General features: G+C 43.0%; 1 protein-coding gene across 5 annotated transcripts in view, besides 2 other annotated features; it reads left to right on the forward strand.

Moving 5' to 3' along the window:
* Positions 1-13063, forward strand: part of LAMC2 (laminin subunit gamma 2) — a 72705-nt gene that overhangs the window by 43075 nt on the left and 16567 nt on the right. For 3 of the 5 annotated variants that reach the window (XM_047420358.1, XM_047420361.1, NM_005562.3), the window contains exons 12-22: positions 1623-1765; positions 2849-3005; positions 3314-3519; positions 5029-5108; positions 6237-6392; positions 7122-7266; positions 8014-8166; positions 8969-9083; positions 10026-10225; positions 10702-10860; positions 10954-11053. In XM_047420358.1, coding sequence (XP_047276314.1) covers positions 1623-1765; positions 2849-3005; positions 3314-3519; positions 5029-5108; positions 6237-6392; positions 7122-7266; positions 8014-8166; positions 8969-9083; positions 10026-10225; positions 10702-10860; positions 10954-11053 — 1614 coding nt within the window. Of the gene's footprint in view, positions 1-1622; positions 1766-2848; positions 3006-3313; positions 3520-5028; positions 5109-6236; positions 6393-7121; positions 7267-8013; positions 8167-8968; positions 9084-10025; positions 10226-10701; positions 10861-10953; positions 11957-13063 lie in introns of those variants that run through there. The other 2 variants (NM_018891.3, XM_017001273.2) reach the window with 2 other exon arrangements.
* Positions 1156-1450: a silencer, noted in NCBI's record as "tiled region #7016; HepG2 Repressive non-DNase unmatched - State 23:Low, and K562 Repressive non-DNase unmatched - State 22:ReprW". NCBI's record gives its function as "represses a minimal TATA promoter and a strong SV40 promoter by Sharpr-MPRA in HepG2 and K562 cells {active_cell/tissue: HepG2 | K562}" and the evidence as "EXISTENCE:reporter gene assay evidence [ECO:0000049][PMID:27701403]".
* Positions 5476-5770: a silencer, noted in NCBI's record as "tiled region #596; K562 Repressive non-DNase unmatched - State 13:Ctcf". NCBI's record gives its function as "represses a minimal TATA promoter and a strong SV40 promoter by Sharpr-MPRA in K562 cells {active_cell/tissue: K562}" and the evidence as "EXISTENCE:reporter gene assay evidence [ECO:0000049][PMID:27701403]".

Consider the following 13063-nt stretch of genomic DNA (forward strand, 5'->3'; position numbering starts at 1 on the left):
ATAAAGTCCAGAATGGGGCCGGGAATGGTGGCTCACACCTGCAGTCCCAGCACTTTGGGAAGCTGAGGTGGGTGGATCACCTGAGGTTGTGAGTTCAAGACCAGCCTGGCCAACATGGTGAAACCCCATCTCTACTAAAAATACAAATATTAGCTGGACGTGGTGGTGGGTGCCTGTAATCCCAGCTACTCAGGAGGCCGAGGCACAAGAATCTCTTGAACCCAGGAGGCAGAGGTTGCAGTGAGCCGAGATCATGTCACTGCACTCCAGCCGGGCAACAGCGCAAGACTCCATCTCAAAAAAAAAAAAAAAAAAAGTCCAGAGCCACTCTGGACACCCAGGTTGGAAGACTCTTGGTTCCTCATGAAGACCCAGAGGTTTGCATGGAGCTCACAGCCTCCCACTCACACCAGAGTCTCCACCTTGAAGTGCTTGAGGACCTCTGCAACCTGAGGCTTCTACTTAGTGGTACAAATCCCTTCAGGAATTCTAGGCCAGACCAGCCCAGACCCCAAACTCTGGGTTAGCTGTGATATGCTAGAAAGCACCTTATGAGAGGAAAAGCCCATATGACACCAACAGGACTGAGTTCAAGTCCAGTTTTGTAACATACCTATTATATTATGCTAATTATGCCAATTAATCCCTCTAAGCCTCAGTTTCCTTATATGTGTGATTAATATTTAACTCGAAGTGGTGGATACAAGAAAGCACACTATAAACACTATAATTCTAGTTATATATTCTAACTATATTCTGTCTTTAGTTTTAGCTGTAATTCTAGGTTACTAACAGAAATTTCACTGGCTTTACACCACACATTTCTTCACTCAACCATCCTTTATCAAGCACATACCATGTACCCAGTGTGGACCTAGATACTGAGGCCATAATGGTGAATAAGTCATCCCAACTCTCGAAGAGTCCGTATGATAATAAGGAAGATACACAAATATGTATGCAAATAATGATAACACACTTAGATACGTAATCAGCGTTTTGTGAGCACTGAAGATAGAACAACTCAGAGAATCACTGTAATCATCAGAGAAGTGTCTCACCCACTATCATATCCTTAACTCCTATAACAGAACCTGGCTTAATCAATTTGGTTGAATGAGTAAAGGTATTGCTTTCTTAACTGTATTTCCTACACCAAAGGCCGCAGAACAGAGGAAAGAACATTGGCTCTGCCTGACCTCTCATTGTAGCTTGCCATTTACTTGCCATGTAACCTCAGGCAAATTAGTCAACTTCCCTGAGCTCACATTCCTCATCTGCAAAATAGAGGGGGATGTCTACATCTGGCACGTAATGGGCCCAGAAGAAATGTTATTCACCTTGAAAGCAAAGCCAGAGTGCTTGCAGAATATCTAATAGGCTTTTAGTTTAACAGGGGGAGGAAAATGAGTGCTGCCAGAAAGGCTGTAATCTCCCTGCATCCACACACACCAGGCAAACCTGCCACATGATTCCTAAGACCTATCTGTATTAAGAAGGTGCATGGAGGTATAAAAGGATTCTCTGCTGTTGGAGGCTTGATCTCCTTCCTTGTATCTTTGCTCTACCTCCACTTTCTAGACTAGTTTGATGTGAATGCTCCATTTGTCTTTTGTCTCTAGCTTGCAACTGTAACCCCATGGGCTCAGAGCCTGTAGGATGTCGAAGTGATGGCACCTGTGTTTGCAAGCCAGGATTTGGTGGCCCCAACTGTGAGCATGGAGCATTCAGCTGTCCAGCTTGCTATAATCAAGTGAAGATTCAGGTATGCATTCTTCCCCTTACCACCCCCAACCCCACAGAATCAAATCCTTAAGTGTCCACTGGGTGGTTCTGTCACAGATCTAGGACACTCCTAGTCTCCTGAGGATGGGAGTAGTGATTACTATTTCTGTCTTTAAAAATTGCTGCATTAAAAAAATTCTGTATAATGATAATACTTCAGGTTTATGTCTTTATATATACCATTTTCAAAACCTCTTTTGCAGATACTGTTTCATTTGGTACTCATGATAACTTAGTTGAGTTGAAAGGAAAAGTATTCTGACCTCAGTTTTCACTGGTCAAATAAAGTCTCAAAATACTTGAAATTTTTCAAAGTGATATGGGTAGGTGGAACTGGGAATCCCACCCATGTCCCCTAACTTAGTTCAGGGCTCTTCCCACTATAATATTTCACTTTCCAGCTCGATTTCTTTTCAACAGATGTCTTTGTAAAACAAATGAAGAAAAACATAAACATAAAAGATATCAGGAGTCCAGAAAGTATCAAGGCTTCCCAAAAAGGAATGGCCTCCAGAAATTTCTCATTTGAATTACAGAGAAGAATGAACTTGATGTTCTTGTTAATTATTAACTATTTTTCTTCCTGGAATGAGGATTGGGGAAGACAAAGGCCCAAACAGAACTCCAAATGTAGAGCAAACTCAACTTGTTTTTCAAACTGATCTATTTAACAAGCCTTTTACGCACTTCCTTTGTGTCAGGCACTGTTCTCTTGTCTCTAGCTTGCAACTGCTTTCACTTTACAAATATTAACTGCATTTTGAGCTTTATAGATGTTAACCCAGGTAGTCCAAGTAATAACTTTAGGAGACACTATTCTTATTTTCATTATCCTAATTTTATAGATAAAGAAAGTGACTTGCCCAAGGTCATACAGCTAGTGAGTAGTGAGGCCAGGATTCAAACTCAAGGACTCTCTAGGCTCCAGGGTCTAAAATTTTAACCACCATGACATGCTAAGCATTTCTGGACTTTTAGTATTATCCCCTGGGTACCTGGTATTGGATGATCCCTTGGGTACATGGTCTCCACCCTCGTTCTGATCTTTCCTGTGTGGTTTCAGATGGATCAGTTTATGCAGCAGCTTCAGAGAATGGAGGCCCTGATTTCAAAGGCTCAGGGTGGTGATGGAGTAGTACCTGATACAGAGCTGGAAGGCAGGATGCAGCAGGCTGAGCAGGCCCTTCAGGACATTCTGAGAGATGCCCAGATTTCAGAAGGTGATGAAGGCCAACTTCCCTTCAGACAGAAGAGAATTCATAGTCCTAGAAGGAATGGCTACGTTAGGTCATAGAATCTTCTATGGATATCAGTTCAGCAGTTATCTCCAGCCAGCCCTTGCAGAAGTGGAAGGACTGTCTGTGGCATTCCCCCTGGGATCTGAATGATGGTGATAAAAGAATGGTTGGATGCATTTCTCTATTGGGTTTTTGTCATTTGACCATAAGCCAGTCAACCCTCCGTTATGTTTGCTAACTCTATGCTGACCCAGAAAGTGCTCATGCTCCCTTTCCTTCTTTGCGTTCAGGTGCTAGCAGATCCCTTGGTCTCCAGTTGGCCAAGGTGAGGAGCCAAGAGAACAGCTACCAGAGCCGCCTGGATGACCTCAAGATGACTGTGGAAAGAGTTCGGGCTCTGGGAAGTCAGTACCAGAACCGAGTTCGGGATACTCACAGGCTCATCACTCAGATGCAGCTGAGCCTGGCAGAAAGTGAAGCTTCCTTGGGAAACACTGTAGGTTTTTGCTGGGCTAGAGTATTGAGAATACTGCTGTGTTGGGAGACCTACTTGTAGATCTCACTGACTCAATTTCTGTCTCTCAGTGGCTCACTTTCTGTTTCTGATCTACCTGACAGGTTGTTGGACTTCTTTTCCTTGCAACAGTCACATCTATTTATGTCTTTGGCCTTCTGAAGTTTCCTATTTTACTGCATTATGTTCTTCTCCTAAGTTCATTTATTTCTAACTACATCCTCATCTTGGCCCTGCCTCACCTCCCTTCTGCATATCTCCTAGCTTGTTAGCTCCCAGAGGGCAGGATTTACTTTAGTTCATATTTACTTTCTCAGCCTACAACACAGTGTATAGCTGTGGTAAATTTCTAGTGTATGAATGAATGGATAAATGAATGAATGAATGAAAAAGGAAGGAAGGAAAGAAGGAAGAAAGGATGGAGGAAGGGACAGAGGGAAAGAAGAACAAAGGAAGAGAGTAGGGAAGGAAGGAAGGAAGGAAGACATGGTTTTGAAAATGGGAAAAAAATGCTGCCAGTATGATTTTCTTGATGTAGTTTGTAATGTGGTAGGAGGGAGAGATTTGATTGAGCACTCTTCTATTTCTGAATAAAGAAGGTTATGGTAACAATAATGTAAATGGATGGGTGGGAGATGAATAGAGGAAGTGGAATGATAATCAGATACTATAATGAGGAAGTCACATTAAAAATAATGTGTATTGATTGTTTCCTTTATTACAGAAATGTTTGTTGTAGAAAATAAATAAAAATTCTCTATGATCCCATTACTATCAAATAACCACTGTTAAAATTTGGAATATATTCTACTGGACTTTAAATTCATATAAAAAATGTACATGTATATATTTTTATTTTTATTTTTTTTGGCTTCCAGCAGGAAAAGAATTTTTATTTTACTTTGTTGTTGTTTTGGATTTTTTTATGTATATATATTTTAATGCATCTATATCTATATACAGACTTTTTTGAACTTGGATTTCTTTGCTCTTGTCTATACATACTTTTTTTTTCTTTTTTTTTTTTCGAGATGGAGTTTTGTTTTTGTTGCCCAGGCTGGAGTACAATGGTGCGATCTCGGCTCACTGCAACCTCCACCTCCCAGGTTCAGGCGATTCTCCTGCCTCAGCCTCCCAAGTAGCTGGGATTACAGGCATGCACCACCATGCCTGGCTAATTATTGCATTTTTAGAAGGGACGGGGTTTCACCATGTTGGTCAGGCTGGTCTTGAACTCCTGACCTCAGGTGATTCACCCGCCCTGGCCTCCCAAAGTGCTGGGATTACAGGCATGAGCCACCACACCCGGCCTATACATACTTTTTAAAAATAGAATAATGGTGAATAGAGGCATGGTGTAAGTGTCAGGGTGTGGAACCCTGTGTGGCTAATGACAAGTGGTTCTGACAGGACAGATGCACCTGCTTAAGTTCCATGGCCAAGTGCAAAGCCTTAACCGATTCGCCTTAACCGATTCTCCTTTTCCCACAGAACATTCCTGCCTCAGACCACTACGTGGGGCCAAATGGCTTTAAAAGTCTGGCTCAGGAGGCCACAAGATTAGCAGAAAGGTGAGCAGCATTAGAGGGCACCTCTGCTTCAAGCCGTCTCTGCAAGGCCAGACTTGAATAAGAGTGTAGGGTATTAGGGACCCAAGCATCGTATTTATTCTCTCCAGGCTCCTTTGCAGCCATTCCCTACCTTGAAACCAGTTTTTAACCACTTGGCTTTTATTGTATGTAAGTGGCCACTGGGCAGGGTCATTTGGCAGGAGTTGGGGGTGAGGGTGTTTCTTTCCCACATTTCCCTATGACTCACAGTATGGCTGTGTTGTATGTCAGATGTGATTCCTCGGGCCACGTGAAATGAATCAGCCCTTGGAAGAGAAAGCTCTGCAGCTTTCAGGGACTCCCACACCAAGCCTGGGAACAAGTAGCAACGAGTTGTTTTTTAGCCTGTGGGGGCCAAGACTGCAGAGGGGGAACTTCCTCCTGAAAACCGGCTCTGCAGGGCCCCAATGATAACACGCAGCTCCCTTCATCCTTGGCTCTGACTAGAAATCCTACGGTGTTTAAGAGGTTTGCTGGTAGCGGTCTGCTCAGCAGGGTGGCAGGCTCTGTTAATCCCAAGTGGAATTCAGTCAGCGGAAGAGGGCTGATTTGTATATTTTGTAACATGAGCTGCCTCCTGAGCTCGTTTTTAATTTTGTTTCTTTGGGTTTTTTTTAAAGAAGCACTTTTTAGAACCAGGAGGAACCAAAAGTATCCAGGGAATTTTTATAGACATGCTTTGTCCCCCTAGTGGTGGGCCCAGTTTAGAGCTGAAGCGAAAGTGCGTAAAGGTTGGATCCTGGGTGAAATAAGACCTAGAGGTTTCTTCCTGCAGCAAACAGCTTACAGATGCAGTGTTTTATCACCTGAGACTGCTCCCACCCATCTCCACACTCCACCCCGCTCCGGGACTCCAGTGATTATGCCATAAACGGAAAAGATCACTACAAGGTCTATGACATAAGGCGAATTCTCCAAAACACTTTCTGCTTCTTGACAGCACCTCTAATTCCATGTAATTTGAGTCAGTTCTGTAGGGTTTTTCTAAATCAGACCAGCTCCCGTACTCTTTGCCCTTCGTGTAACTGAACAACCTAAAGGAAGCCCTTTGCGTGAAAACTCTTATTCTTTTGTTTTTAATCCTTTCAGCCACGTTGAGTCAGCCAGTAACATGGAGCAACTGACAAGGGAAACTGAGGACTATTCCAAACAAGCCCTCTCACTGGTGCGCAAGGCCCTGCATGAAGGAGTCGGAAGCGGAAGCGGTAGCCCGGACGGTGCTGTGGTGCAAGGGCTTGTGGAAAAGTACGTTCCTACGGGTCCTCCCGTGGCTCATTATACCTTGGATACTCCCAGGGCAAAATGCTAACCGTACTTGAGGGGCACCATGCTAGTTGTAAAAAACATATTATTAATGATAATAAGAGGGCCGAAATCATGGGAGTTTTACTTTGGGGAAAAGCAGATATTTTTAAGACTGGAAGAAAAAAAGATTGGTTAGTCTAAATAAAATTAATGTTTTGATTGAGATTACAATACTGGGAGGTATGGTCACCCTCTGGTGTTTGAAGGGTGTGAATAAACCCATCTGATGGCATGGGGAGATATAAAAATACAGAAATATATTTCTGTTATCAAGAAGTGGGGAATTTGGGATTGAATTTTTCTGACCCAACCTGTGTAAATTAAAAGGCTTATGTTTAGTGGAGAGGGACAAGTATCTGATAAATAATTTTGTTTGGTTCTTCTGGTTATTCTAACTACATACTTTCAAGACAACAGGGTGAAATTTTGCTTTTGTTAAAAAAAAAGGGGGGGCCAGGTGTGGTGGCTCACTCTTGTAGTCCCAGCTACTTGGGAGGCTGAATTGGGAGGATTGCTTGAGCGTGGGAGGATGAGGCTATAGTGAGCTGTGATCACGCCACTGCACTCCAGCCTGGACAACAGAGTGAAACCCTGTCTCAAAAAAAAAAAAAAAAAAGAATTCTCAAAGTCCTCTTTTTATTACCGCCCCCTCCCCACCCCCAACACCAGATTGGAGAAAACCAAGTCCCTGGCCCAGCAGTTGACAAGGGAGGCCACTCAAGCGGAAATTGAAGCAGATAGGTCTTATCAGCACAGTCTCCGCCTCCTGGATTCAGTGTCTCGGCTTCAGGGAGTCAGTGATCAGTCCTTTCAGGTGAGGGCATCTGGCCTGTGTGCTTGATATACAGGAGGGCCATAAATACTTTCTTTTCTGGGGGTGCCATAATATTGTTCAAACATTCAGCTTTTTCTCCATGTTGACCATTTCTGTTTTAGAGTGGGAAGAGTATTTAGCCTTCTCATTACCCATTTGCTTGTTCTTAAACCACAATCCTAGTCTCTGGAAAGGATTTGACCCATGCTAAACCTATTACTGGATAAAAGTTTTATGTATCTTCCTTAGTTCTGGGGATTGTTGAAACCTGTGGAAAATTTTTATAAAGTTTTTTTGTTTACGCTTGAGTCCAACCTATAGTATATCTCTATGTATAGCCACTCTGAGATGACTTCTTCTCAAAAGTTTTGCATTGTTTCTGCCATCAGTTCCTTTAACAATTCCAAACTTATTCGATTAAGAAGATTTTGTTTACTACCTATAGAAAAAAAAATTCACAATCCCCATGGATATATGTTCCCATGAATATATAAACTAACATGTAAACATTTAAAAAATGAAAAAGAACAGAGACAAAGCCTGTTTGACATTGAGGGGACCTGCTGCCTTACTTTCATTGGGCATACTGACTCATTTTTGTTAGGTTTTGGGCCTGGATGGCTAGTGACTATTTTCTTGGCTTCTTAAGGCTGTTGCTATTTTCAAACAATGGTGCCAGGTCCTAACAAGGCTGGTGTGGTAACTGGTAAGCAGAAGTCAGACTCCCTGGTTTCTTTGGGCTCATAGGTGGAAGAAGCAAAGAGGATCAAACAAAAAGCGGATTCACTCTCAAGCCTGGTAACCAGGCATATGGATGAGTTCAAGCGTACACAGAAGAATCTGGGAAACTGGAAAGAAGAAGCACAGCAGCTCTTACAGAATGGAAAAAGTGGGAGAGAGGTATTCTTTTGTTAATTCATTCACTCAATAAAGATGTATTGAATGCCCACCATATGAATAAATATGGCAAGAAGAATAATCAAAAGCTCTCTGACCAGGCACGGTGACTTATCCCTGTAATCCCCGCACTTTTGGAGGCCAAGCCAGGAGGATCGCTTGAACTCAGGAGTTTGAGACCAGCGTAGGCAACGTAGTGAGGCCCCCATCTCTACAAAAAATAAAAAATAAAAAAATAGCTGTGCATGATGACACGTGCCTATAGTCCTAGCTACTTGAGAGGCTGAGGCGAGAGGATCACTTGAGCTCATGAGTTCGAGGCTGCAGTGAGCCATGATTACACCACTGTACTCCAGCCTGGGTGACAGAGCAAGACCCTGTTTCTGGAAAAATCAACAATGAAGGCACTGCTTATGGAAGAAGTAACAGTTGCAGAGATCTTGGTGTGATTAGCTCAGTTCCACCCAGTCGGTCAGCCCTCAAACCTAGGAATAGGACCTAGGCCTCTTGGGTCTAATTTTGGTCTAGCTCAGTCTACTACTTGGCTTCAGGAAATATCTAGAGTTTAAAATTATGATTTATAAAACCGTTCCTGTCCCTGATGGTGGACTAGAGTTTCTCTATATGGAATGTGTTGTGGACTTATAAAGTTTGCTCTGTCCCAGATTGTAGAGGGGTTTGCTACAGCACCCCTAGACTCTGCAGTGAATCACAATGATCTGCTGTCATGAAGAGAAATGTGTCAGAGTGATTTTGCCAGCAGGAATGTACTTCCTCTAATCTTGTTCTATCTGCCTTTTTACAGAAATCAGATCAGCTGCTTTCCCGTGCCAATCTTGCTAAAAGCAGAGCACAAGAAGCACTGAGTATGGGCAATGCCACTTTTTATGAAGTTGAGAGCATCCTTAAAAACCTCAGAGGTTAGTACTTCATGGTTCAGGTCACTTGAGTATTTTAAGTGTATAGTCATGACCAATTTCCTTTGAATTCTCATATGTCTCTCTAAGTGGCAGGTATATTGGGATATTAATAGATCCTTAGTAAATATCTTTCTAAAGAAAATCTTAATGCATTAATATTTAATGTAGTAGTAATAATAGAGCTAGATGTCAGAAGCCTTGAGTTCTGATCTCTGCTGGGCCACCTAACCAGGCCAGACTAGCTGTGTGACCATAGGCAAGTCATGTAACCTTTCCAGAACCTAGTATCTTCCTCTTTAAAGAGACGAGGTTAAACTATGTGTTCTCTAAGTTCTCTCACAGATGCAACATACCACTACTGTACAGACATTTTTCCTTTTCCTGTGTAGTCTGGTTGGTTCCAGTATGGAACTGATATGTTTCTTTGTGGTGATAACAGAGCAACCTTTGTCACTGCATCTAGATCCCAGGAGATTTAGATTTGTGCCTCGCAGAGATTTCATTAAAATTTCAGGCTTCTTCACTAAAGCACAAAAGAGAAACATTCCCAAAATTTTGGAATTTTCTTCATGGAAAGTACTTCTCTACCCATTCAAACCTAACCCCAATTCTTATCATTGGAGCTTAGGGCTTAAAACTCTGGCTTGATGCTTTGGACTTCAAAGATTCTACCTGCTTCTGATGCACTCTTCAGTTTCAATACTCTTGCAGTGCTGTGGAACTCAGGGCAGGCTGATTGTCGGTTTCTCTAAGCAACGGAGTAATTATAACCCCTCCAATGCATCTTTTAAGAAAGTTAATTCCAGCCGTAACTTCCCACACCGTCATCCCCAGTCAGTAATAACACTCTTTCAGGAATTTTTCTTTACAACATCAGCCCCTTTCACTCATTTGTAAATTTGCTTTCATCTTCACGGCAGTTTTTTCTTTTCTTCATTTCAGAGTTTGACCTGCAGGTGGACAACAGAAAAGCAGAAGCTGAAGAAGCCATGAAGAGACTCTCCTACATCAGCCAGAAGGTTTCAGATGCCAGTGACAAGACCCAGCAAGCAGAAAGAGCCCTGGGGAGCGCTGCTGCTGATGCACAGAGGGCAAAGAATGGGGCCGGGGAGGCCCTGGAAATCTCCAGTGAGATTGAACAGGTAAAGAGAAATCGACATGTGTGTTGGTGCCAGTAGCACCAAACACAAGGGTGGTGTGGAGGGAAAAAGAACATTGAGCTTATTTTAACCTCTGAGGCTCAGAGCCCTGTTGTGGCCCATGGGAGCCCCAGATTAAAAGACTATGGTAGCAAAGACGCATGACAGAGAATGATGTGTTTTTTTGTCCTCCGGGTTTTCCCAAATGGTTCCTAACTCTGTTCAACATTTGGTGAGCATTGAACTGAGAGAGAAGCACTGTCTGGCCGCTGACCTTCCTAGTCATACCCCCAGATTAGCTTGTTTGAGGCAGAGCTTGGCAAAGTACCCCTGTCCCTAAGTCTGATTCTCTCATTATTCATCTAATTTACTCCATCAGGGCCCGGCTGCCGCTGTATTTTTTCTATGGTTGTCTTTGGGATGTTTTTGTGCCTCACCCCTATCTCTCCTTCCGTCCCTGGCTCCTTTTCTTCTCTCAGGAGATTGGGAGTCTGAACTTGGAAGCCAATGTGACAGCAGATGGAGCCTTGGCCATGGAAAAGGGACTGGCCTCTCTGAAGAGTGAGATGAGGGAAGTGGAAGGAGAGCTGGAAAGGAAGGAGCTGGAGTTTGACACGAATATGGATGCAGTACAGATGGTGAGTTCCTGTTGCTTTCCACGGGAGATCCCTTTCAACTTGCCAAAATGGAAAATACCTTTTCAAGGCTGGTTTGTGCTTATTTGTCCTCAGGTGATTACAGAAGCCCAGAAGGTTGATACCAGAGCCAAGAACGCTGGGGTTACAATCCAAGACACACTCAACACATTAGACGGCCTCCTGCATCTGATGGGTATGTGAACCCACAACCCACAACCTTCCAGCTCCATGCTCCAGGGCTTTGCTCCAGAACACTCACTATACCTAGCCCCAGCAAAGGGGAGTCTCAGCTTTCCTTAAGGATATCAGTAAATGTGCTTTGTTTCCAGGCCCAGATAACTTTCGGCAGGTTCCCTTACATTTACTGGACCCTGTTTTACCGTTGCTAAGATGGGTCACTGAACACCTATTGCACTTGGGGGTAAAGGTCTGTGGGCCAAAGAACAGGTGTATATAAGCAACTTCACAGAACACGAGACAGCTTGGGAATCCTGCTAAAGAGTCTGGCCTGGACCCTGAGAAGCCAGTGGACAGTTTTAAGCAGAGGAATAACATCACCACTGTATATTTCAGAAAGATCACTAGGGCAGCCGAGTGGAGGAAAGCTTGAAGAGGGGGTTAGAGAGAAGGCAGGTTGAGACTACTTAAGATATTGTTGAAATAATTGAAGAGAGAAATGACAGGAGCCTGCTCTAAGGCAGTAGAATGGTGGCTGGGAAGATGTGAAGGAAGATTTTCCCAGTCTGTGAAGTCAAGAATCACTTGCCGGCCGGGTGTGGTGGCTCACGCCTGTAATTCTAGCACTTTGGGAGACTGAAGCGGGTGGATCACCCGAGGTCAGGAGTTGAAGACCAGCCTGGCCAACATGGTGAAACCCTGTCTCTACTAAAAGTACAAAAATTAGCTGGATGTGGTGGTGGGCGCCTGTAATTCCAGCTACTCAGGAGTCTGAGGCAGGAGAATCGCTTGAACCCAGGAGGCGGAGGTTACAGTGAGCCAAGATTGCACCACTGCTCTCCAGCCTGGGGAACAGAGCAAGACTGTCTCAAAAAAAAAAAAAAAAGGAAAAATAAAAAAGAATCACTTGCCGATTTTACATTTGTTCCTCCCCAAACCAAAGTTATACCTTGATGTAACCAGTGGGAGGAACTTGAGCTGCTTGGGTAAATAACCCAGAAGAAATGTGATGAGAGTAGGCCTGTGAGATAATTTTAGGAAGATCTGATGGCACAGCGTGGAAGAAAATCAGGTTTCCCTACAGAATCGCTCCCAAAAGAAAACTTATTTTGGTTAAATTTCTGGATTTAGGTAGAGCTGATATCAAACCCTCATTTGGTCTGTTTTATCAAGCTTGGACTGCAGCAGATGTGGAACTAGAGATTCGTCACAGATTCCAGTAACATTTAGGAAAATGTTTGGCTCTGCTATTCCAGTTCAGTAGAACAACTTCGAAACTGGATTTTTCTGTAGGGTGTCATCATCACCCTGAGATGCCAATGTCATCTGTGTTGTTATAGTCTTGGGTCTGCTTTGTGATCCAATGAGCCCAAAAGAGTAAAATGCCCTCAAAGGATTGAGAAAAAAAAAAGGAAAAAACAAAACAAAGGAAAACAAAACCTTCCCAATTGAGACTTTAGCAGCGTTGTTTAGTGTTCTAAAAAAAAAAGAAAGGCAATGAAACTAATGAGACCTGTAAAGAGAATATGAGAGAGTAGGGAGAGCAGGGTAGATGGAAGCTATTAAACATTTACTATGTGTCAGATGTTTTCATGGTGTAATATCATTTGTCTTGTAAAAGTCCTCTGTGGTGGGTTTTATCATTTTTATTATTTTATTTCATGAAGGACTGAACTGAGGCTCAGAGGTTAATAATGCCCCACAGGTCATGTAGTAAATTGTAGAGGCAGGATCCAAACTGATATCTTTTTGCCTCCAATGCTCGTGTTCTTTTCTAGTAACTCATGCCACCTTCCCATAGACAAGGTTATTTTGTTCCCAAGCTTACTTAACTTCCTCTGCATGTCGTAAAATCCTAAATTCCTAAATTCTCCCTGACCCCAAGTGAAAGATCCATTTGGATCAACATTTTTGTTACAGTGTTGTTTCTACTCTGTGTGCTCTCTTAAGTCCTGGAGCAATATGAGATTAATTGTTCTAGGTATAATAAACTCATGCAGTCAAATACTATCACTTCAGCTCACAT

Source organism: Homo sapiens, chromosome 1 (genome assembly GCF_000001405.40).
Source record: "Homo sapiens chromosome 1, GRCh38.p14 Primary Assembly".
NCBI lineage: Eukaryota > Metazoa > Chordata > Mammalia > Primates > Hominidae > Homo > Homo sapiens.